The 27,095-nt window shown below is 36.7% G+C and overlaps 1 protein-coding gene across 19 annotated transcripts in view; it reads right to left on the reverse strand.

Annotated features, from left to right (window-relative positions):
• Positions 1 to 27,095, reverse strand: part of COL24A1 (collagen type XXIV alpha 1 chain) — a 427,752-nt gene that overhangs the window by 23,551 nt on the left and 377,106 nt on the right. For 16 of the 19 annotated variants that reach the window (NR_146341.2, NR_146342.2, NR_146343.1 and 13 more), the window contains 3 exons: positions 22,891 to 22,926; positions 8,748 to 8,783; positions 8,613 to 8,639 (listed from right to left, as the gene is read on the reverse strand). Coding sequence is in view for 13 of the 19 variants with exons in the window: in XM_047417004.1 (XP_047272960.1) it covers positions 8,613 to 8,639; positions 8,748 to 8,783; positions 22,891 to 22,926 (99 nt within the window). In the remaining 6 variants the exon portion in view is untranslated. The remainder of the gene's footprint in view (positions 1 to 8,612; positions 8,640 to 8,747; positions 8,784 to 22,890; positions 22,927 to 27,095) is intronic. The other 3 variants (NR_146340.2, NR_146344.1, NR_146345.1) reach the window with 2 other exon arrangements.

Genomic DNA, 27,095 nt, shown 5'->3' on the forward strand with positions numbered 1-27,095 from the left:
AATTGCTTCAAAGAGAATAAAATACCTAGGAATCCAACTTACAAGGGATGTGAAGGACCTCTTCAAGGAGAACTACAAACCACTGCTCAAGGAAATAAAAGAGGACACAAACAAATGGAAGAACATTCCATGCTCATGGGTAGGAAGAATCAATATCGTGAAAATGGCCATACTGCCCAAGGTAATTTACAGATTCAATGCCATCCCCATCAAGCTACCAATGACTTTCTTCACAGAATTGGAAAAAACTACTTTAAAGTTCATATGGAACCAAAAAAGAGCCCGCATCGCCAAGTCAATCCTAAGCCAAAAGAACAAAGCTGGAGGCATCACACTACCTGACTTCAAACTATACTACAAGGCTACAGTAACCAAAACAGCATGGTACTGGTACCAAAACAGAGATATAGATCAATGGAACAGAACAGAGCCCTCAGAAATAACGCCGCTTACCTACAACTATCTGATCTTTGACAAACCTGAGAAAAACAAGCAATGGGGAAAGGATTCCCTATTTAATAAATGGTGCTGGGAAAACTGGCTAGCCATATGTAGAAAGCTGAAACTGGATCCCTTCCTTACACCTTATACAAAAATCAATTCAAGATGGATTAAAGATTTAAACGTTAGACCTAAAACCATAAAAACCCTAGAAGAAAACCTAGGCATTACCATTCAGGACATAGGCGTGGGCAAGGACTTCATGTCCAAAACACCAAAAGCAATGGCAACAAAAGCCAAAATTGACAAATGGGATCTAATTAAACTAAAGAGCTTCTGCACAGCAAAAGAAACTACCATCAGAGTGAACAGGCAACCTACAAAATGGGAGAAAATTTTCGCAACCTACTCATCTGACAAAGGGCTAATATCCAGAATCTACAATGAACTCAAACAAATTTACAAGAAAAAAACAAACAACCCCATCAAAAAGTGGGCGAAGGACATGAACAGACACTTCTCAAAAGAAGACATTTATGCAGCCAAAAAACACATGAAGAAATGCTCATCATCACTGGCCATCAGAGAAATGCAAATCAAAACCACTATGAGATATCATCTCACACCAGTTAGAATGGCAATCATTAAAAAGTCAGGAAACAACAGGTGCTGGAGAGGATGTGGAGAAATAGGAACACTTTTACACTGTTGGTGGGACTGTAAACTAGTTCAACCATTGTGGAAGTCAGTGTGGCGATTCCTCAGGGATCTAGAACTAGAAATACCATTTGACCCAGCAATCCCATTACTGGGTATATACCCAAAGGACTATAAATCATGCTGCTATAAAGACACATGCACACGTATGTTTATTGCGGCACTATTCACAATAGCAAAGACTTGGAACCAACCCAAATGTCCAACAATGATAGACTGGATTAAGAAAATGTGGCACATATACACCATGGAATACTATGCAGCCATAAAAAATGATGAGTTCATGTCCTTTGTAGGGACATGGATGAAATTGGAAACCATCATTCTCAGTAAACTATTGCAAGAACAAAAAACCAAACACCGCATATTCTCACTCATAGGTGGGAATTGAACAATGAGATCACTTGGACACAGGAAGGGGAATATCACACTCTGGGGACTGTGGTGGGGTCGGGGGAGGGGGGAGGGATAGCATTGGGAGATATACCTAATGCTAGATGACACGTTAGTGGGTGCAGCGCACCAGCATGGCACATGTATACATATGTAACTAACCTGCACAATGTGCACATGTACCCTAAAACTTAGAGTATAATAAAAAAAAAAATTAAAAAAAAAAAAAAAGAACTAAAGGACAGTATGAGAAAGATGTCTTACTAAGTAGAGAATATAATAAAAGCACATAAATTATAGAAAAAAGAACCAAATAGAAATTCTGAAGTTAAAAAGTACAATAGCTGAAATAAAAATTTACTAGATAGGCTCTACAGTAGATTTCCATAGGCAGAAGTAAGCACCAGTTAACTTGAAGACAGGTTTATTGAGATTATCCTGTTTGAGGAGTGGAAAAAAAAATGAAGAAAAGTGAACAGAGACTTAAGAGATCTGTAGGACACTGTCAAGCTTATCAACATATGCATGATGAGAGTCTCAGAAGGGGAGGAGAGAGAAAAGGGGGCACAAAGAATATATAAAGAGATCATGGCTGAAAACATCACAAATCTGATGCAAAAATATTAACCTACACATCCGAGAAGTTCCACAAACTTTCCCAGACACATCATAATCAAACTATCTAATGCTATAGACAAAGAGAGAATTCTGAAAGCAGAGAGGAAGCTCATCATGTCCGAGAGATCTTCAACCAGATTAACAGCTAATTTCCCATAAAAAACCATAAAGGTGAGCAGGCAGTAGGATAATATATTCAGGGTGCTAAAAGAAAAGACAGTCAGCCAAGAATTCTATTTCCAGTAAAACTCTCCTTTAAAAATGAAGGAAATATTAATATATTCCCAGTTAAATAAAAACCAAGACAATTTATCACTAACATACCTTCCCTAGAAAAATATTATAGGGAGTCATTCAGGCCTAAAGTAAAGGATACTAGGCAGAAACTTGAATCCACCTGAAGAAATAAAGAGCAGTAGTAGAAGTTACAATATAGTAAATATAACATATAGTATAGACCCCAAGTAGCCAAAATAATTTTGAAAAAAGAAGTTGTTAGAGGCATCATGTTTCCTGATTTCAAAACTTACTATAAAGCTGCTGTAATCAAAACAGTTGGTACTGTCATAAAGACAGACATAAAGAATGAAATATAATAGAGAGTCCAGAAATAAACCTTCTCATTTATGATCAAATTATTTTCAACAAGAGTGCTAAGACCATTCAATGAAGAAAGGATGGTCTTTTCAACAAACAGTGCTGGAAAAATGGAATATCCACATGGGATAGAATGAAGTTAGACCCTTAACTTACATCAAGTACAAAAAAACTTACATCATGAGTTATACCATGAACTCAAAATGAATCAAAGACTTGAACATAAGAGGTAAAACTATAAAATTATTAGAAGCAAATAGGAAAAGCTTGATAACATTTGATTTTGCAATGATTTCTTGGAATGATACCAAGAGCACAGTCAACAAGAGAACAAAGTAGATAAATTAGACTATATCAGAAAAAAAAAAAAACTTCTGTGCATCAAGGGACACTATAAAGAGAGTGAAAAGGCAACCCAACGGATGGAAAAAAATAACTGCAAATTGTCTTTCTGGTAAAGGATTAATATCTAGAATATTTAAAGAGCTTCTACAACTTACTAACAACCAAAAAAAAAAAAAAAAAAAAAAAGGCAACCCAATTCAAAAAATGGGCAAATAACTTGAATAGACATTTCTCTAAAGAAGAGGCTGGGCACAGTGGCTCACACCTGTAATCCCAGTACTTTGGGAGGCCGAGGTAGGCAGATCACTTGAGGTCAGGAGTTCGAGACCAGCCTGGCCAACATGGTGAAATCCCAGCTCTACTAAAAATACAAAATTAGCCAGGCGTGGTGGAGGGCACCTGTAATCCCAGCTACTCAGGAGGCTGAGGCAGGAGAATCACTTGAACCTGGGAGGCAGAGGTTGCCGTGAGCTGAGATCGCACCACTGCACTCCAGCTTGGGCAACACAGCAAGAGTCTGTCTCAAAAAAAAAAAATACAAATGTCTAATAAACACATGAAAATATGCTCAACACCACAAATCGTTAGGAAAATGCATGTGAAAACCACAATGAGATACCGCTTCATAACCATTAGGATGGCTGTTATAGAAAAAATAAACCAGAAAATAACAAGTGTTGGTGAGGATGTGGAGAAACTGGAATCTTGTGCACTGCTGGTGGTAATGTAAAGTGTGTGGCAGCTATGGAAAACAGTATGGCAGTTTCTCAAAAATTAGACATAGAATTACTACATGATACAACAGTTTCATTTCTAGGTATATACCCAAATGAATTGAAAGTGAAGACTCCAACAGATATTTGTACAGCAATGTTTATAGCAGCATTATTCACAATAGCCAAAAGGTAGAAGCAACGTAAGTGTCCATTTGGATAAACAAAATCTGGTATATGTATTACATGGACTATTATTCAGCTTTGAAAATAAATAAAATTCGAATATACGCTTACAAAAGAGATGAACCCTGAAGATATTACGTTAAGTGAAATAAGCCAGTCACAAAAAGACAAATATTGTATGACTTAACTTATATGAGGTACCTAGAGTAGTCGAATTCATAGAGACAGAAAGTAGAACGGTGGTTGCAGGGGCTGGGTAAAGGGAGGAATTGAGAGTTATTACTTAATGGGTACAGAGTTTCAGTTTTGGAAGACAAAAAAAGTTCTAGGCATGGGTAGTAATGGTTGCACAGCAATGTGAATGTACTTAATACCACTGAACTCTACACTTAAAAACAGTTAAAATGGCAAAATTTTGTTATGTATATCTTGCCAACATTAAAAATAACAAGTAAATATGCTCATTATCCCTTAGACCAAACTATCCTACTTCTGGCAATTTGTCCTCTAGGTATTCTACAAAATGATATGTATATGGACAGGACATTTGTACTATGTGTAATTAAAAAAACTGAAAAAAAGATGCTCACCAACAAAGGGCAAGATGAATAAATCACAGGATATTCTTAGTTGGCAACACTATGATTTTCTGTGTGTGGCAGTAAATAATACAATGACTATTAGTAGATTAGTAGTGTAGAGTTTGATGCTTTAGTCATGCTAAGGTACCAGCAATTTTAAACACCATCAGTGCAGGCGACAACTCAATAAAAAGGCATTTTTTTTCCCAACAGGTATTAGAAAGAAAAGAAATTTCATAACACTTGGCCACTCAAAAATTTTCTTGACAATCTCCATATTCCTAGAATCCCCAAGGTATTCACAAAGCCTAGCTCATGACTGGCACATAGCAGTCAATCAATTTGTTGAATTTATTGACTTTTTCCCCACAGGCAGACTTTAAGAAAGGCAGGGTCAGAGAAATTGTATTAAGAGGATTTGCCTGGGAAGTCATTCAGTCACATCTAAGTGCCCACATCGAAGTATAAATCTCTCATTAAGTGCAGTGAGGGGATCAAATAAGGAAAAATAACTTCTTCCAGGCACTCTAGTTAGAGAGAACATATTCTTACATGGAAATCACTCAATATTTACAAAAACATGCATGTAAAATAGAAAACAGAGAATAAAGATTGATTATATGTTGTGACTAGTGAGTGTGAAATAATGAGGGGAATTAGACAGCAGGATTCATTATACTTTGGGAGAATGTAATCTTCATAATTCTCTCCAAATCATTCGAGTGAAGAGCAGATCTAGTCTAGGCACCTCAGTATTTTGAAGAGAAGCGTTATTTTTTCATATGTCTAAAGTTTCAAGATCACTGGATGGTGAAAATGCTGACCAAATAGGAACTCATTTCAGGTCACACCCCTCTTTATGATAGAAGTTTTTGCTGATTCTAGAGAACCAGTATATAATAGCAGCAGCCACTTCTTAATTCACCAATCCAGGTTCTACAGTTGACCCATTAATTGGAATACATCAGTTGGGAATTCTTTCTCTCACTTAATGATTTTTAACGATTGTTATTTCCATCATATACACCAAACACAGACACATATAGACACCCTGTTCTTCCCTTTATTCTACTAATCATTTCTGGTTAACTTTGACATCATATGGCATACTTCTGTGTTCATTTCTAAATACCTTACCATACACACTGAGGTCTGGTCATTACCCTATCCTCACATTCAAATTCACCATCAATACATATTCCTTTTCCTGAAACATTTCCTTTTAGCTATTCCACTTTAGAGAACTGAGCAAGTTACTTTAGTTTCATAGGTCTTATAAAGATGTGGCTGGACTGGATTAGAAGTTTTCATACTTATCTTGACCCACAGTAAGAAATACATTTTTACATCATGACAAAATTCACACAAACATACATATATTCAACCTTAAAAAGTTCTGTAAAACCATATTTATTCTTACTGATGATGATGTACTGATTTTTTTAAATTGAGGTAAAATTTATATAACATAAAATTCACTATTTTAGTCATTTAAAAATATACAATTCAGTTGTCTTTAGTAGATTCACAACGTTGTTCAACCACTACCATGATAGAATTTCAGAGCATTTTAATCACCCAAAAAGAAACTCCATATCTATTAAGCAGTCCCTCCCCAATATTTTTCTATTCTATTTCATTTGCTCTAAAAATAATCCTGAATGAGACTCACTAAATTGGTCTTATGATCCGCTGACCAATGAATCCCAACTCAAAGTCTGAAATAACTGCTTAATAATTACTGAGAGGACCTCTAGTTCTATGAGTCTAATTTTTTATAGACATTGTTTCTCTCCAAGTGAAATCTAGTTTAGAAGATTCCCACTAAAATTTCCTGAGATGTTGCCTTTTTTGTATTCATGCAAGCATGCACTCAACATTTATTAAGAGCTTAAATGGAAGGAGAATTTAAAAAGTAGTCTCTGTCTTCAGAGGGTTCACAATATAATAGAAAAGACAAACATGAAAATAAATGAGTATGAACAAAGAAGGGGAAGTGATCAGTTCTATCTTGTAGTGTGATGAGGGAATGGAATTAAGAAAAGTTTCATGGAGGCTGACTTTAGAAAGAATGTGTAGGTGTCTTATTGTCATTTAGATGTCTGCTCTAGAAATCTTATCCTCAATGTTATTTTCCTACAACGGACTCTGCAAGTTCCAGGAAAACAGCATTATATATGGAAATCTGTTTTCATATTGGCCAAGAAGGAATACAGAAAGGAGGAAAAGGGAGAAAAGAAGGAAACAAAGAAACTAGCATTTATTGAGTAGTTATAATGTATTCAACACACGTATTTTCTTACTTAATCTTCCTGATTAATTTCTCAAAGTGTATACATATTTTAATCCACATTTTGCTCTGAGCAAAAACCTCTCATGTCTTACTCTATTTTGGCTGTGTAGGAACACATGTATTTTCCAAGTGAGACAGGGATATGTGTCACACAGTTTGGCACTTAAATGTGAAAATTTTCACTAAACATTTCTTTAATTTGCCAATGACGTATGATCCTTTAGAACTTGAACTTGTTCTTTCTTGAGAAGGGAGCTATGATATATCAAAGTCATTATAATTTGGGAAGGCAATTAATGAGGGTACTTGTAATCCATGCATTGTGGGGATCCAGGAGGAAAGGAAGAATAAACAAGTGGAAAGTGATTTGAAGACTTGGAGAAAGACATTGTTTTTTTTTTTTTTTTGTTTGTTTGTTTGTTTTTTTGAGACAGAGTCTTGCTCTGCCAGGCTGGAGTGCGGTGGCATGATCTCGGCTCACTGCAACCTCTGCCTCCCGGGCTCAGGTGATTCTCTTGCCTCAGCCTCCTGAGTAGCTGGGATTACAGGCATGTGCCACCATGCCTGGGGTTTTGCCATGTTGGCCAGGCTGGTCTCAAACTCCTGACCTCAGGTAATACACCCACTTCAGCCTCCCAAAGTGCTGGGATTACAGGTACAAGCCACCATGCCCGGCCGAAAGACATTCTTATTGATGTCCACACAGGGAGAGTTTCCCTCCATGTTAGTCAGAAGGCCAGAAAGGGGAAGTGATTTTTTAAAATCACAGATAAATGGGTCTCTTGTTTTCAAGGGGATAGTCTTCCTTGTGGCACTTTGCCTGGAAGTTATTCCTTGCCCCAATGAAAAGCTGAGGGAAATGAAGAGTTCCTGATCTGCTGAGAGTAGACCACAGGAAACCACCACCTAGAACTAGCAGAGATCTAAATGACATCAGAGCAGCATGTGAAATAAGAAGGCTTAAATGGCATAGGACTGACTATTGTTTGGGATGGTGTAGCGAACAGTAGATCCATGTTAGGCAGAAAATGTGACCAAGGACCACTGTATTTGACCAGGAGGCTGGAGGAGTGGGGTGTGGGTGAGGTTGCAGATGGAGAGAGACCTTTCATAGGGAGCAGAAAGACAAACAGACTGCGGAATATGAGAGTGGATACAAAGCATAAGGAAAATCAAACTTAGAATATCAGAGGGCATGAGAATAGCAGAAGCAACATAAACATTGCCTCAGAGATAAGGGTAGCAAGTTTTGGGTCATAGTAGTTAGATAATAAGCAAACATAAGAGAAGTCTGATGGCTTCCAGAGTTACCAGCAACTGAGAAAGATTTGATTTACTTCATGTAAATCAAAGAAGTGGATAACCCTGGCTGGCAAAAAGAGAACATTTAAAAAAGGAGAGTGAAGATGTAGAATTAGGAAGAAATGGAGATAATTAGTTTTTCAAGTGCTTATTATGTATTATACAATGTGCTGCATGCTTTACTTCTTACTCAACACTTGAAACCACCCAAGAAAGCAGGAGATACCATCTCCATTTTATAAATAAGAAGTCTGAGGCTTGGATTTCATGTTTGTGTAGCTGGGCCAGCCCTGTATCAGGTTAGCAAAAAAGAACAGAGGTATCCAAAAGGGATACCTTTTAATAGAGAGTTAACAGAAGGATATTTAAAAAGTTAATATGACATACTAAGATAAAACAAAACAAAATCAAACCAAGCAAACTTACTCTTGGGCCTGGTGCTCCAGGTGGACCCTAGAACACAGCAAATTAAAAAAAATACACATTTATTTAGTAGACATCTTAAACCAGGCAAACATATAAGCATCAATGGTAAACAGATATAAATGAAAACCAACTCACTGGAGGCCCTGGTTGACCTCTTGGTCCTTGAGGACCCTGGAAGAAATGGAGACAAACACAAGACCTATATATTATACTTTTGGTTGGGTATAAGCAAGATAACTAATATTCAACCTCTGTAACTGCCTTTCGTGCCAGGCAAGTCATACAATTTAAAATTGTTTTAGTATTCTAAAGTTATATGCTGTGGTACTTAGCAATCATCCATATTCATAAACAAGCTGGATATTTATTTTCCTGTTTATCGATATTATTAGAAACTGAATTTACTCATTTTAATAAACTATTATAAATGTAACATTTTAAAATATTAGTATTGTCTAAAGATGTTTTTCCTGTTATTTCTAACTACCATCCACCTAATCATCAAATATAGAAACTTCGGTGTTCTTAGACACATTAATTTCCTTTATCTACCTGTAAACTGGTTACTAACTCCTGTTGAGTTCACCTGAAAATCTCTCCAAAATAATACTTCTCCATTTTTATTGATAATTAAATGAATGAATGATGTTAAAATTAATTAGTATTAATTTAGAAATTAGAAAAGTGAAAAGGTGTATCGCAAAATGTCAAAAGTTATGTTGACATTTTTCAAAGCGAAGCAATAATTACTGTTAAAAATGCTCAAAGGCCCTGTACATCTGTTCAAAAGTAACTTAGATGTTCAGCTAAATGTTAAGACTATATTGAGTCAACTCCAATTACGGTTAAAAGATGGCAAAGCAACACTTATCTTCAGCTAAGTTTTGGATAATGTTGACACCATGCTTGACTTAGTATTAAGCATCTTGTATTGCCAAAGCTGTTAATCCTAAATATACTGTGATAGCTAGAACAAACAATACATAGTAACTTGAAAAGATCAGAGTACTCCAACACTGTGCCTGCTAGACATGTCTCAGTTTATCTGGTTTATGATTACAAGTTTAAGCAGAGAATGTACAAAACTTGTACATAATTAAATGAATGAATGATGTTAAAATTAATACCAGTTAATTTTAATACTAGTCAAAATTAATACTAGTTAATACTAGTTAATTTTAACATCATCCATTCATTTAATTATCAACCAATGCATATATCTCAGAAGCTGCAGGGTAGCTGACAGAAATGTCACATTGGAGATAGCCTTTTAAATATACAGAAGCTCAAAGTGAAATTGGTTATGTCCGCTTCTCCATTTTGGATCAACAATGTAAAAATAATAAACAGTTGCAATAGTCCATTCCACTTAGCAAGTTTTTGACATTTGGAAAATATCACTGATGGTTCAGTACAAAATACATATGTTACCTTTGACTTCAAAAGAGGAATTTATCATAGAAAAATAAGAAACAATTTCTACTGCTGATTTTATAAAGTTCACTTCAGCTTATTATTCAGAACAAGTCAGATCACAAATATGATCAAACAAAATACTTCAAACCCACCAGGATAGGGCAGGGCAACTCCAATGTAACCACATAGAATAGGGAAAGTAGCCAAGTTAAAAAAATATGATTCCAACAATATAACATTTTATTAGTTCTTTTTTATTACTCTAGCTAATACACCATTAAGGTGAAGTGATTCACTGTCTATTCTATATAAAGCTGTTTATAGGCCAGGCATGGTGGCTCACACCTGTAATTCCAGTACTTTGGGAGGTCAAGGCCAGCGGATTGCCTGAGCTCAGGAGTTTGAGACCAGCCTGGGCAACATAGTGAAACCCCATCTCTACTAAAATACAAAAAAATTAGCCGGGTATGGTGGTGCACTCCTGTAGTCCTAGCTACTCGGGAGGCTGAGGCACAAGAATTGCTTGAACCCGGGAAGCAGAGGTTGGAGTGAACCAAGATCACGCCACTGCACTCCAGCCTGGGTGACAGAGTGAGACTCTGTCTCCAAAAAATAAAATTAAGTAAGTAAAGTAGTTTATAACAACACCATGATTGTCTCTGTTAATTTTCTTTTACTTTCTTTTTTTTTTTTTTTTTGAGACGTAGTTTCGCTCTGTTTCCCAGGCTGGAGTGCAGTGGTGCGATCTCGGCTCACTGCAATCTCTGCCTCCCAGGTTCAAGTCATTCTCCTGCCTCAGCCTTCCGAGTAGCTGGGACTACAGGCGTGCGCCACCACTCCTGGCTAATTTTTTTTGTATTTTTAGTAGACATGGGGTTTCATCATGTTGGCCAGGCTGGTCTCAAACTCCTGGCCTCAAGTGATCCACCTGCGTTGGCCTCCCAAAGTGCTGGGATTACAGGCATGAGCCACTGTGCCTGGCCGTCTATGTTAATTTTCTAAAGGGGAACCAAATTACTCTGAATGGTTATGGTGGTTATTTGGCTATAGTAAAAACACTTCCTATGAAAACAAGATTCTCTTTTCACTTTATCCCAGAATTTACATACGATCCTCCAAAAGTAACATATTTTATCAGTATACTTTAAAAATACGTGTAAGTGCATATCCTTAAACTTGAGTATGTTAGTCTTCCTTTTTGTAAATTCTTTTATTTCATTTCCTAATGTCATTTCCTTTATGTCATTTCCCTTATGTAAATGCAATCTTGATTTAGCTTCATGATCTTTATTTTAGGCTGGCTCAGTTGCACAGAGCTTCCTTTTCTCATTTATAAACTGAGGAGCTTCCATTGTAGGATGTTTAGCAGCATCCCTAGCTTCTACCCACTAGATGCCACTGACATCTCATTCTTTTCCCCCAATTGTCTCCTAGGGTGGTAGGGGGACAAATGGCTCCTGGTTGAGATTCATTGGTTTGAAAGGAGAATTTAGTAATATTAAATAAGATTAACTAGATAGTAATGTAATTAGAATGGAATGAGTGAGCACCACAAGTCATAGGGCGTGACTGCAAATAAGAACATAAACTCTTCAAGTTGTCATGCGGGTGACAGCTGGGCTACTCTTGATCTAGGTGGAGGATACACACACACACACACACACACACACACACACACACACACACACACACACCATATTCCTTACCAAGACCTCCTAACCCTCTTTTTCTGAAAGGCACTATAATTTATAGAAAAACACAATCATATAGGAATTGGGAATCTGGGCTCTGGTTTTGTCTTTGTAACTTAATTTGCTATATGGTCTTAAGTGAACTGCTGCACATTTGGACCTCAGATATCTAAATTGTAATATAATAGGTCTAGTGAAGATAATCTCCAAGGTTCACTTTAGAATTATGATTTTCAAGACTTTTATCAATTTTCTTCCTGATGTGTGTTTTTTTAATTTTTAAATTTTCTTTAAAGACGGGAGTCTTGCTATGCTACCCAAGCTGGCTTTGAACTCCTGGGCTCAAGCAATTCTTCTGCTTTAGGATCCCTGAGTAGCTGGTACCACAGGCATGTGCTTCTGCATGACCTACCTCATGTTTTTTATCTGGATAAAGAAGGTGTACACAAGCATACAGATTGGGAATTTAAAATTTAAAGTCTGTACAAATGTAATGGTAAGTGTTCTTGAATTTAAAAAGTTTGATACTTTTAAATGAATGATTTATACTATTTATGAATTTTAAAAAGAAATACATACATATATATGCTTTAAATGCTTACTGTGTTAATATTTAGGACCTATTTCCCATATCCTAGTTTTTCCTTCTAATGCAGAAACCATCCTTCTCACTTTCAAATTGGAGGCAAATAAGACAACTGCTAATCAAGAACTGTGAAGACATATTAACTTAGAGATAATATTAGAGAAAATGTCAATGGGATGTTTCAATATTTTATGATTTCATTAAATAGTATATTATAAATATGAAGCAGCTAATCTGAAAATTCATGCTGAGATTGTTCTCTGTTTTTTTTTATTATTTCTATAGCTGTAAGTTATATGATTCAAGTTGTTACATTTTGTCAAAATTATTTTCAGGTCAGGTATAGTGACTCATGCCTGTAATTCTGGGGCTTTGGGAGGCAGAGGCCAGAAGAATCACGTGGGGCCAGGGTTCGAGGCCAGCCTGGGCAACACTGGGAGACACTGTCTCTACCGAAAAAAAAAAAATCATTAAATAAATAAATAAATAAATAAATAAATAAATTAGCCAAGTGCAATGACACGCACCTGTAGTCCTAGCTATTTGAGAGGCTGAGGTGGGAGGATTGCCTGAGCCCAGGAGTTCGAGGCTCCAGTGAGCTATGGCTGCACCACTGCATGCCAGCCTGGGTGACAGAGCAAGACTCTGTCAAGAAAGAAAAAAAATCCTTTGCCGATATCTGACACTAGGATATCATTTCTGCTATAAGTTAAAATTTTACTTAGAATTTTACTTAAGTTAAATTTTTACTAATTGTATCCCATTATTTCCAGCAGTCGTCTTTGCATTACTTACTCTGAAATTTACTCAGTTGTGTTTTAAGTGTTTCAGGTCTCATAGAAAGTAGGAAATTTTGTAAACTTTCAGGATTTATTTGGCAGTAACACAACAGTTTTGAAGTAGAGGAAGAGTAGAGAATTCTACATGTTATCTGCTAGGTTTCCTTAGGATGCCATAAAACTCTGGCTCTGTTTAGAATATATATATATGAATAGGACTGGGTGCGGTGGCTTATGCCTCTAATCCCAGCACTTTGGGAGGCTGAGGTGGGCAGATCATCTGAGGCCAGGAGTTCAAGACTGGCCTGGGCAACATGGTGAAATCCCGTTTCTACAAAAAAATAGGAAAAAAATTAGCTGGGTGTGGTGCTGGATGCCTGTAATCCCAGCTACTCAGGAGGCTGAAGCACGGGAATCACTTGAACCAGAAGGTGGAGGTTGCAGTGAGCTGAGATCTTGCCACTGCACTCCAGCCTATGCAACAGAACAAGACTCTGTCTCAAAAAAAAAAAAAAAAAAAAAAGAAAGAAAGAAAGAAAAAGAAAAAGAAAATATATATGAATCTAGGGACTCATTTTAAAAACAGTCCATAGGCAGGCAGACCGGGAGCAAGTATAGAACAGAAAGAAAAATAACTCTTTCATAAATGGCCATACAGAATCAGCTCTCTCAGTGGTGGAAAGGACCTACTTGGGATCAATACTAGAGTTTACAATGTTAAATTACAGAAGACATGAAGTTTTCTAATCAAGAAACCCAAATTATAATAAAGGAGTTACTTTTCATGTATTGTATAATGAGCTATAAACTTATTTGCATTTTTTTAAAGTCACTGAATCATGCTTTGGTCATTTTTTTGGTTATATTTAGGTATAAAACTTGGTAAGGAGAGCACAGTTTAATAAATTCATAGTTTAATAAATTTTCCTCCATGGAAAATTTTAAAATAAGATTGAGGCCCAGCGTGATGGCTCACGCCTGTAATCCCAGAACTTTGGGAGGCTGAGGCGGGCAGATCACGAGGTCAGGAGATCAAACCATCCTGGCTAACACAGTGAAACCTCGTTTCTACTAAAAATACAAAAAATTAGCCGGGTGTGGTGATGGGCGCCTGTAGTCCCAGCTACTCAGGAGGCCGAGGCAGGAGAATCGCTTGAACCTGGGAGGTGGAGCTTGCAGTGAGCCAAGACTGCGCCACTGCACTCCAGCCTGGGTGACAGAGTGAGACTCCGTCTCAATAATAATAATAATAATAATAATAATAATAAGATTGACAAACCAATTTGATAGATTGTTGTGATTCTGATCTTTGTGCAAAGACTTAAGTCTCTTACTTGTCTCAATACAATAGGTCTTAGCTAATAAAATCCATTCCAAAAATGCACCATTTACTAGCATTTTCTGAGAATGACCTCCGCGAATGTATTACATTCTGAAAGACAGTAACCAATTAGGCGTCTTTAGCCAGTCAATTATTTAAACTGCCTCCTTAAAGAAAACAAACTGGTAGAATGTACTGAAAAATTCCCAATGAAAAGTGTAAGAAATGTTACCAAGCTTTTCCATAAAACAAAGGAGAAAAGGTTTAACGGCACATTTTATGGATTATGATAATTGCAGAATGATCTCCAGGAATTAAAAGATTAACTTTATAAAGCTCCTTAAATTATAATGGAATCAAAGGAAAAGAAGTGATTAAAAAGGTATTTAGTATCAGTTATCAGTTACTCAACAATAAAACAGAATAAACTCATAATTGTAATGTGCCAGTTAATCCTTTTTTTTTTTAAACAGCATATTTAGTTGCCTACTCTAAATGCCACTGTGCCTATTTCCCATCTCCCTTGGGTACTGGAAGTTTGCACCTTATTTATGAAGAGAAGCATGATAACCCACAGACTAAAAACTCTAAAAAGCATGTTAATTCAGGAAATGCTACTTTACCAGGCTAGAACTGGAAATAGTGTTTCACTTTTTAATTTTAGGGCATATTATTCATTTATCAACTATTACCTATTACATGGCAAGTTCTGTTCTAGACACTGATAACCTGTGTACCACACAAAGTTCCCTACTCTCATGAAGTTTACATTCTAGTGGAGGGGACAGGAAATAATTGCAATGAGTGCTATTATGAAGAAAACAAAACAAGATACAGTGAAAGAGAATGACCGGAAATGATGAGACAGAATGGTCTGAGAAGACTTCTTTAAGATGGTATTTGAGCAGAGACCTGAATATTGAGATAAAATTAGTCATTTGAAGAGTATATGAAAGAATTTCCTAGGTTAAAAAAAGGCATATTCCTAAGAATAGAAAGGAGGTTAGTGTAGGTGGCAGGTGGAAAATGGTACATCAGGACACTGGAGAGGCAAACAGGGGCCAGTTCATGTAGGGCCTTGTAAATCAAGGCAAGGAAGCTTAGATTTTATTCTAAGTGCAAGAAGAAGTCATAGGGAGGTGTTTAAAGAGGAGAATGATATAATTTGATTTATTCTTTAATAATATCACTCTATTTGCTATGTAGAGAATAGATCGTAGTGGGGGAAAAGTGGAAGAAACGACAAGAAACCGGGAGTCCAGGAGGGATATCATGATCACCTGCACAAGGATGCCAGTGAGGAAGAATGAGAGATGGATTGAGAATAGGATTTACAGCTGATGGGAATTAATCTCTAAAGAACTCTTTATGTTCTATGGCTTTGTTAGTTCTTTTGTGCGGGGGGAGGGCTTATTTCTTTTTCTTTTATGTAGAATCACACATATTCAGATCTGGAAAGAACTTTATGGGTATCTCTTCTAATTCCCTACTCAGTGCAGGAATACCAGTCCAGTAACTTGGGGAGATGGTCAGTAGGCTTTGGTGAAAGGTAGTTATTACCTTGCAAAATGATCTTTTTGTGTAGTTTTCATTATTATATTAGACAGCTCATTATTACATGGAGCTGAAATTAGCCTCAGTATCCTATTAACTTTGTCACTAAGTTTTTATTGTGTTAATTATGTATCCGGTGCTATAATAGACTGGGTACTAGGTGGTAACAACGATGGTAGGTAGGTACTAGGTGGTATCTAATATATTTCATGCCTTCATGGAGCTCACTTTCTCTCAGGGAGCTGAGCACAGAATTCAATAAATTCAAACAATTCAATAAATAAGTCTTTTAAATTTTATCCTCTAGAGTTACTCATATTGTATCTATCCTCTCTTATATAAGATAACCTTTCAAATATTTGAAGACAACTATTATGTTCCAACACCTCAATTTTGTCTAATTCATTTACCAATAATTCATTAAATATTTATTGAATGCCAACTATAAGAGAGGCACTGCCAGGTGTGAGGGACACAGCATTAAAACAAAAATCAACAGTTAAAATGTTTGTGTCTTCAAGGCTACATTCTAGTGAGGAAAAATATAATAACAACAAAAAACAAATAAATATGTACTATGTCAGTTGGTAGAGGCACAGGTAGAAGGAATATAAGGCGTCTCAGGAAGGTGGGGGCACTGCTATTCACACAGGCTAGTCAGGATAAGAGGACATTTAAGTACAAAACTGAAGAACACGTGCCAGGCATTGTACTAGGTCCTGAGGGCTAGGTATTATGTCCAGGGTGGGAGTAGGGTGGGGTCAAAACATTAGCATGCCTGCCCCGAGAAATGTTCATTAAATCAAAATGTCAAGATCAGCAGGAGCTCTCTACCATACATAAAGGGTATGGTAGAGAAATAACAGGTACAAAAGCCAGGAAGTGCGACGAGAGAAGAAAGAACAAGGAGAGAGATGTAATCAGGCTGCAGAATCTGGTAGAGGCTAACCATCCCAGATATTTCAACTGGTCCTACCAGGACATAGGTTCCCCCAGATCCTTCCCCTTCTCTGAATGTGCTTTAATGTTGTCCATGTTTTCTTTGGGGATAGCATGACTGGTACCACTACCTGCTTTATACTGCATGCCATATTTCTATCACTACAACCTAAGATGGCAGTCCTAATCTATTGCATTTGTAATCCATCACAGAGCCACTCAATTTTTTTTTCATGTGAAATGCTTGTGACATTGCCATAGGTACTTCAGGCTTCCTAATCCTGATGGAAACTATGTCCCAGCCACAGTACTTGGAGAGGATACTGGGGAGGCATGCAGAGCCACACTGATATGGAACATGGGCTAATTCCAAGTCTCTCTGCTTTTCCCTTCCCTCTTTCACTCTTCCTTGGAAATATAGCTTCACTGTGTACATATGCTCTTGCTTCCTGTTACAATAAATCTGCTGAGAAAAGGTGAGGATCACATTTCTACAAATTGAACACATCGATTTAAATATCCTTTTGTGATTCTTAGGCTATCTGAAATAACATAATTTCTCCTTTTTAGCTAGTTAATATAACTGCAACTTAATTATTCTGAGTCTCAAGCATACCCTAAGATGAGAAAAAAAAAAATCTCAGCTGTGACTATGTAATCTCATTACCTTCTAATCAAGACTTTACTGCTATATTTAAGTTTATTCTCATGGGCCTTATGTACTTGGTTTCAATCTCCCTCATTTTATTCCATGTCTGTCCTCTGTTTATGGTGCTGCTTTAATAAGTTTGGCATGGATCACATGCTAAGTGAGTAGATGTTAGCTTCTCTTGCAATAAAAAAAAAACAAAAGGATGGGTAATCATGTGAGATGAATATGTTAATTTGCTTAAAAAATTACTTATAATCAAATTACTTGCTTATAAATAACCTTTTTACTATCTATATGTATCCTATAACATCATGTTAAATCTATACAATAAAAAACTTATTAAAAAATAAGCTTAGCATGATCTCTGCTGAAGAAGTGGCCCCTTTACAACACATCTTCTTTAGCATGGAAGAATTGGCATCCTAGAAATGAGGGAAGTAGGGCCAGTATAAGCTACTTTGGTCACAAAAGTGCTGTGTACCTTTTGCCCATCCTCTCATCATTGTCTCTAACTGGCTGATATGCAACTAATGATTTGCCTCTGCATTGCAGATCTCTTTGGTGCTGACTGGACATAGTGGGTATATGCCTAAAGCGAATTGGCAGTCCCTTTGTTCTGCCACTGGTGAAGAAAACCCATATCCCATCTCCTGATGCCTGGCAAGGCAAATAATCCATTTCACACAGTGATCCGGGAAGAAGTGATTGGCGGGTTCTTAAACATCTTTAGGGTTTATCAGATTTCACTGCAATCTACCACATAGGGTTTTTAAATTATTATTATTATACTTTAAGTTCTGGGTTACATGTGCAGAACGTGCAGGTTTGTTGCATAGGTATATTCGTGCCATGGTGGTTTGCTGCACCTATCAACCCATCACCTACATTAGGTATTTCTCCTAATGTTATCCCTCACCTAGCCTCCGACCCCCGACAGGCCCCGGTGTGTGATGTTCCTCTCCCTGTGTCCATGTGTTCTCATTTTTCAACTCCCAATTATGAGTGAGAACATGTGGTGTTTGGTTTTCTGATCTTGTGATAGTTTGCTGAGAATGATGGTTTCCAGCTTCATCCAGGTCCCTGCAAAGAACATGAATTCATCCTTTTTTATGGCTGCATAGTATTCGATGGTGTATATGTGCCACATTTTCTTAATCCAGTCTACTACTGATGGACATTTGGGTTGGTTCCCAGTATTTGCTATTGTGAATAGTGCTGCAATAAACATACGTGTGCATGTGTCTTTATTGTAGAATGATTTATAATCCTTTGGGTATATGCCCAGTAATGGGATTGCTGGGTCAAATGGTATTTCTAGTTCTAGATCCTTGAGGAATCGCCACACTGTCTTCCACAATGGTTGAACTAATTTACACTCCCTCCAACAGTGTAAAAGCGTTCCTATTTCTCCACAACCTCTCCAGCATCTGTTGTTGCCTGACTTTTTTATTTATTTATTTATTTATTTATTTATTTTTATTATACTTTAAGTTTTAGGGTACATGTGCACATTGTGCAGGTTAGTTACATATGTATACATGTGCCATGCTGGTGCGCTGCACCCACTAACTCGTCATCTAGCATTAGGTATATCTCCCAATGCTATCCCTCCCCCGTACCCCCACCCCACCACAGTCCCCAGAGTGTGATATTCCCCTTCCTGTGTCCATGTGATCTCATTGTTCAATTCCCACCTATGAGTGAGAATATGTGGTGTTTGGTTTTTTGTTCTTGCGATAGTTTACTGAGAATGATGATTTCCAATTTCATCCATGTCCCTACAAAGGACATGAACTCATCATTTTTTATGGCTGCATAGTATTCCATGGTGTATATGTGCCACATTTTCTTAATCCAGTCTATCATTGTTGGACATTCATCATCACTGGCCATCAGAGAAATGCAAATCAAAACTACAATGAGATACCATCTCACACCAGTTAGAATGGCAATCATTAAAAAGTCAGGAAACAACAGGTGCTGGAGAGGATGTGGAGAAATAGGAACACTTTTACACTGTTGGTGGGACTGTAAACTAGTTCAACCATTGTGGAAGTCAGTGTGGCGATTCCTCAGGGATCTAGAACTAGAAATACCATTTGACCCAGCCATCCCATTACTGGGTATATACCCAAATGACTATAAATCTTGCTGCTATAAAGACACATGCACACGTATGTTTATTGCGGCGTTATTCACAATAGCCTGACTTTTTAATGATCGCCATTCTAACTGGTGTGAGATGGTGTCTCATTGTGGTTTTGATTTGCATTTCTCTAATGACCAGTGATGATGAGCATTTTTTCACATGTCTGTTGGCTGCATAAATGTCTTCTTTTGAGAAGGGTCTGTTCATATCCTTTGCCCATTTTTTGATGGGGTTGTTTGTTTTTTCTTATAAATTTGTTTAAGTTCTTTGTAGATTCTGGATATTAGCCCTTTGTCAGATGGATAGACTGCAAAAATTTTCTACCATTCTGTAGGTTGCCTATTCACTCTGATGATAGTTTCTTTTGCTGTGCAGAAGCTCTTTAGTTTAATTAGATCCCATTTGTCAATTTTGGCTTTTGTTGTCATTGCTTTTGGTGTTTCAGAGATGAAGTCTTTGCCCATGCCTATGTCCTGAATGGTATTGCCCAGGTTTTCTTCTAGGATTTTTATGGTCCTAGGTCTTACATTTAAGTCTTTGATCCATCTTGAGTGGATTTTTGTATAAGGTGTAAGGAAGGGGTCCAGTTTCAGTTTTCTGCATATGGCAAGCCAGTTTTCCCAGCACCATTTATTAAATAGGGAATCTTTTCTACATTGCTTGTGTGTGTCAGGTTTGTCAAACATCAGATGGTGGTAGATGTGTGGTGTTATTTCTGAGGCCTCCGTTCTGTTCCATTGGTCTATATATCTGTTTTGGTAACAGTACCATGCTGTTTTGGTTACTACCGTCTTGCAGTAAAGTTTGAAGTCAGGTAGTGTGATGACTCCAGCTTTATTCTTCTTGCCCAGGATTGTCTTGGCTATGTGGGCTCTTTTTTGGTTTCATATGAAGTTTGAAGTAGTTTTTTCCAATTCTGTGAAGTAAGTCATTGGTAGCTTGATGGGGATAGCATTGAATCTATAAATTACTTTAGGCAGTATGGCCATTTTGACGATATTGATTCTTCCTATTCATGAGCATGGAATGTTTTTCCATTTGTTTGTGTCCTATCTTATTTCCTTGAGTAGTGGTTTGTAGTTCTCCTTGAAGAGGTCCTTCACATCCCTTGTAAGTTGGATTCCTAGGTATTTTATTCTCTTAGTAGCTATTGTGAATGGGAGTTCACTCATGATTTGGCTCTCTATTTGTCTGTTATTGGTGTATAGGAATGCTTGTGATTTTTGCACAATGATTTTGTATCCTGAGACTTTGCTGAAGTTGCTTATCAGCTTAAGGAGATTTGGGGCTGAGATGATGGGGTTTTCTAAATATATAATCATGTCATCTGCTAATGGAGACAATTTGACTTCCTCTCTTCCTATTTGAATACCCTTTATTTCTTTCTCTTGCCTGATTTCCCTGGCCAGAACTTCCAACACCATGTTGACTAGGAGTGGTGAGAGAGGGTATCCTTGTCTTGTGGCAGTTTTCAAAGGGAATGCTTCCAGTTTTTGCCTATTCAGTATGATATTGGCTGTGGGTTTGTCATAAATAGCTCTTATTATGTTGAGATATGTTCCACTGATATCTGGTTTACTGAGAGTTTTGGCATGAAAGGCTGTTGAATTTTGTCGAAGGCATTTTCTGCATCTATTGAGATAATCATGTGGTTTTCGTCTTTGTTTCTGTTTATGTGACGGATTATGCTTATTAATTTGCGTATGTTGAACGAGCCTTGCATCCCAGGAATGAAGGCGACTTGATCGTGGTGGGTAAGCTTTTTGATGTACTGCTGGATTTGGTTTGCCAGTATTTTATTGAGGATTTTTGCATTGATGTTCATCAGGGATATTGGCCTAAAATTCTCTTTTTTTGTTGTGTCTCTGCCGGGCTTTAGTATCAGGATGATGCTGGCCTCATAAAATGAGTTAGGGAGGATTTCTTCGTTTTCTATTGATCGGAATAGTTTCAGAAGAAATGGTACCAGCTCCTCCTTGTACCTCTAGTAGAATTCGGCTGTGAATATGTTTGGTCCTGGACTTTGTTTTGGTTGGTAAGCTATTAATTATTGCCTCAATTTCAGAGCTTGTTATTGGTCTATTCAGAGATTCAACTTCTTCCTGGTTTAGTCTTGAGAGGGTGTATGTGTCCAGGAATTTATCCATTTCTTTTAGATTTTCTAGTTTATTTGCATAGAGGTGCTTATAGTATTCTCTGTTAGTGGTTTGTATTTCTGTGGGATTGGTGGTGATATTCCCTTTATCATTTTTTATTGCATCTGTTTGATTCTTCTCTCTTTTCTTCTTTATTAGTCTTGCTAGCGGTCTATCAATTTTGTTGATCGCTTCAAAATACCAGCTCCTGGATTCATTGATTTCTTGAAGGGTTTTTTGGTGTCTATCTCTTTCAGTTCTGCTCTGATCTTAGTTACTTCTTGCCTTCTGCTAGCTTTTGAATTTGTTTGCTCTTGCTTCTCTAGTTCTTTTAATTGTGATGTTAGGGTGTCAATCTTAGATCTTTCCTGCTTTCTCTCGTGGGCATTTAGTGCTATAAATTTCCCTCTATACACTGCTTTAAATGTATCCCAGAGATTCTGGTACATTGTGTCTTTGTTCTCATTGGTTTCAAAGAACATCTTTATTTCTGCCTTTATTTCGTTAGGTACCCAGTAGTCATTCAGAAGCAGGTTGTTCAGTTTCCATGTCGTTGTGCAGTTTTGAGTGAGATTCTTAAACCTGAGTTCTATTTTGATTGCAGTGTTGTCTGAGAGACAGTTTGTTGTGATTTCTGTTCTTTTACATTTGCTGAGGAGTGTTTCACTTCCAATTATGTGGTCAATTTTAGAATAAGTGGGATGTGGTGCTGAGAAGAATGTATATTCTGTTGATTTGGGGTGGAGAGTTCTGCAGATGTCTATTAGGTCCGCTTGGTCCAGAGCTGAGTTCAAGTCCTGGATATCTTTGTTAATTTTCTGTCTCATTGATCTGTCTAATATTGACAGTGGGGTGTTAAAGTCTCCCATTATTATTGTGTGAGTCTAAGTCTCTTTTACTGCATCGGTTAATTCTACTTCCTGACAACTGCAATTTTATTTTTATTCTACAAGTATCAGAGACATAATAATGGATAACTCTAACAGGGTCCTTGCTTTCATGGAGCTTATAGCCTAGTGTCAGGGTTACTATAATCACAAATTTAGTTAAACTTACAGTTTCACCTCTAAAGCCCTTTTCACCTCTGGGTCCCTAAAAGAAAAAAAAAAGATGTTAGTTCATTGTTATTGATAGTTACGTATTAAATGTAGCTGAGGTCATTATATGTAGAAACATGACAATTTATATTTTTGCTTTTTCTATATAGTAAGACCTGTTTTGTTAAATTGTATAAGTTCTAGTGTTCTTTTCCTAAATAAAGCAAAGCAAACAAAAAACCCTTAGTGATTCATGTTGTCTGCTTTGCTGTTCCTAGTTCTAACCTTAAGGTGAGACTGAGATAACTACTTATTCATTCAATTAAGTCAAAACAGCTTATCTGACAATCATATACAAAGCAATTTAAAAAGGAAATTCTAAATTCAGGTTAAATTCTTCTAATAATTGTTTTTCTTAACTTTTGAAAACCCTGTTTCTGGGATGGTTTCCCTTCTCTTTCTTGCAAATTTTAATATGTTGTATATGTTTCCGTGCAGTTCAAAATATTTTCTAATTTTCTTGGAGACTTGCTCTTTGATCCATGGATTATTTAGAAGTGTGTGATTTAATTTTCAAGTGTTTGGAGATTTTCCTATTATCTTTCTGTTATTGATTTCTAGTTTAATTCCATTGGCAAGAGAATATACCTTCTATGACCTCAGTTCTTTTACATTTAGTAAAATTTGTTTTATGGCCCATAACATCTTCTATTTTGGTGAACGTTCCATATGCACTTGAAACGAATGTAGTTTGCCATTGCTGGGTGGACCTACTGCTTTTAAAATGTGTTAATATTTTCCTGTTCATCCTTTTGAAAATTTTATATGTATATATATGTAAAAAATGAGATACTATTCATCTTTTCTGTAACCTGAATTTACACCTTCATAAATATAATATGAATGCTCTTCCATGTCAATATACATTCTTTTAGATAATTAAAATATTTAATAATCTTACCTAGTATTTAATATACTATGATAATATTTTAAATTTGCTATTATTAGACTTTTTGCTAATTTTTGTCATTGTTAGCAGTGTTGTGAGAGATACCCTTACAGTCTAAAATTTTTGTTAAAGACTGTCTTCCAGAAAGTTAGTTTGAAATTACATACACACCTGCAAAAATGGAAGTGTACATTTCTTCTGATCTATGTCATGTTCTTTGTTAATTTGCAAGCTAAGAATACTATCTTATCATTTATTCACCATTTATATTACTTCTGTGTTTCTCATCTTGTCTCAATTCATTTTAAACCAGGGTATTAACTTAAAAAAAACTTATTTATTTATTTACTTATTTTTTTTTTTTTGAGAAGGAGTCTCGCTCTGTCACCAGGCTGGAGTGCAGTGGCATGATCTCAGCTCACTACAACCTCCACCTCCTGGGTTCAAGCGATTCTCCTGCCCCAGCCTCCTGAGTAGCTGGGACTACAGGAGCATACCACTAAGCCCAGATAATTTTTGTATTTTCAGTAGAGATGGCGTTTCACCATGTTGGCCAGGATGATCTCAATCTCCTGACCTCGTGATCCGCCCGCCTCAGCCTCCCAAAGTGCTGAGATTACAGGAGTGAGTCACTGCGCCTGGACCCTGATTTTTAAGATATCTACACAGCACTTTAAAAAAATATATACACCCTTTTCCACACCCTACCCAGTATTAACAACCTGGTATGTATGTTTTCATACCTTTTTCTAATCAAATATTGACAAATACATTTATGTATGTATGAGAAATATTGCTGTTTTAAAATATTGGAATCATATTATATACTCTTCTATGCATCGCACTTAACAATACATCATGAAATAACTGAGTCAGCCAAACTAGATATAATAAATTCTTTTAAACAATTGCATAATATTCCATGAAATGGCTAACCTATAACTTACTCAATCATTCCTTTAGAAATGAGTATTCACGTAATTTCAATTTTTTTTCCAATAAAAGTAGTATTACAAAAAAAAGTCTTTGCAAAATTTCATTAGTGTATTGGGTGCTTTTATACCTATGGGATAAATTCCTCCAAGTGGAACTGTTTTGTTAAAGAATATGTACCTATATTTAACAAATCTTTCCATAAAGTCTGTAATTCACATTTTTACCAGTGATCAATGAGAGTACTGTTTTCTCCTATATTCCCTTCTGAGAAGTTAAATGTAATATCTTATTTTACTTTAATTTGCATTTCTCTGACTTAAATTTAGGTGAGTGTCTTTTTATTATAAAACAATAGTTGAACTTTTGGATTTGTTCTTTTTTTCTCCGCTGGCTACTTTTTTGATGGAATGCTTTTCATTTTTCTATTGAACTTTCTTTTTCAAACTATAAGAGCTCTTGGTATATGTGTGTATATGTCTCTATCTCTATCTATCTATCTATCTATCTATCTATCTATCTATCTATCTATCATCTATCTCTAGATACATACACGTATCCATAGCAACAGATAGGTAGATAATTTTTTATTTTTAAATTTTTTTTGCCCAGGCTGGAGTGCAGTGGCATGATCATGGCTCCCTATAGCCTCAACTTCCTCAGATCAAGTGGTCTTCCCACCTCAGCCTCTTGAGTAGCTGGGACTACAGGCATCTGCCACTACGCCAGGCTCATTTTAAATTTTTTTGTAGAGATGGGATCTCACTATATTGCCAAGGCTGGTCTAAACTTCTGTGCTCAAGCAATCTTCCAGCCTCAGCCTCCCAAAGTGCTGGTAATACAGCCGTGAACTACTGTTCCCAACTGAGCTCTTTGTATATTAACCTGTTATATATTGTATGCTTTGTAAATATTTTTCCCAATCAATAGTACTTTTAAACTTTATTCATGGAATCTTTTTTCCATACAAAATGAAAAAAAAATTTCAAGTATTCAAATATACTTTCTGTTCTTTTACAGGTCTCCCCAATCCTTAAGCTACATGTTAGTTTTCTAGATTATTCTTCAATTTTTTTTTTTTTTTTGAGATGGAGTTTCACTCTTATTGCCCAGGCTGGAGTGCAATGGCATGATCTTGGCTCACTGCAACCTCTGCCTCCCAGGTTCAAGAGATTCTCCTGCCTCAGCCTCCCAGGTAGCTGGGATTACTGGCATGTACCGCCACACCCGGCTAATTTTGTATTTTTAGTAGAGATGAAGTTTCACCATGTTGGCCAGGCTGGTCTTGAACTCCTGACCTCAGGTGATCTGCCCACCTCGGCCTCCCAAAGTGCTGGGATTACAAGCATGAGCCACTGCGCTTGGCCTCTTCTAAGATTTTTATTGTTTTATTTTTTACATTAAAGTCGTTAAAAGTTCATCTAGGAGTAAAATACTTTTGGCAAATGGGGTTCCAATTTTTCTTTCTTCTTTTTTCCTTTTTTAAAGAGATGGGGTCTCACTCTGTTTGCGCAGGCTGGAGTGCAGTGGGTGCAGTCAACTCACTGTAGCCTGGAACTCCTGGGCTCAAGCAATCCTCCCATCTTAGCCTCCCAAGTAGCTAGGGCTTATAGGCATGTACCACCACACACAGCTAATTTATTTTTATATGATGGGGGTCTCACTATGTTGCCCAGGCTGTGTTCCAATTTCTTATAGCAGGAGGATACTCAAAGTAATTCCATCTCTCTTCCCTGTCACTGACGTAGGAGTGAACATCTGGCTGAATGCTAGACAATTAGATATGAAAAAAATGTAATCGGAGACTTCTAAAAAATTCTTATTTTTGCCACAATAGTACTTTATGTCATTTTTTTTTTCCTTTGGATAATTATATCTGGATGTAGTTCTTGAGAAGTTGTAGTCATCTTGCTATAAGCCTAATTATGAAGCCAACATTCAGGATATTAGAGTAGAGACATAGAGATATAAGAGATACATAAGAACCTGGTCTTGGATGAGATAATTGAGTCGCCAAATTAACCAAATCTGAAGGCTTTCCTATAATGTGATACAAATTTTCTTATTGCTAAAAGTACTTTGGTTCAGGGTTCCTATTATTTGCAGCCAAACCTTCCTCAATTATATGCCATTTTTGTTGTAAGTAAATTCCTATATATACTTAAGATCAAATTCTGGGCTCTAGTCTGTTACACCGATCTGTTTATTTCTTTGTATTACCATATAGTTTCATTTACAAATTTCCAAGCCTGTCACCCCTCACTGGTATTTTTTTTCCCAATGCTTTCACCAATCTGAAATGCTTATTCTTTCATAATGAACTTTTCTTCTCAGAATGGAAA

This window comes from Homo sapiens, chromosome 1 (genome assembly GCF_000001405.40).
Source record: "Homo sapiens chromosome 1, GRCh38.p14 Primary Assembly".
Classification (NCBI taxonomy): Eukaryota; Metazoa; Chordata; class Mammalia; order Primates; family Hominidae; genus Homo; species Homo sapiens.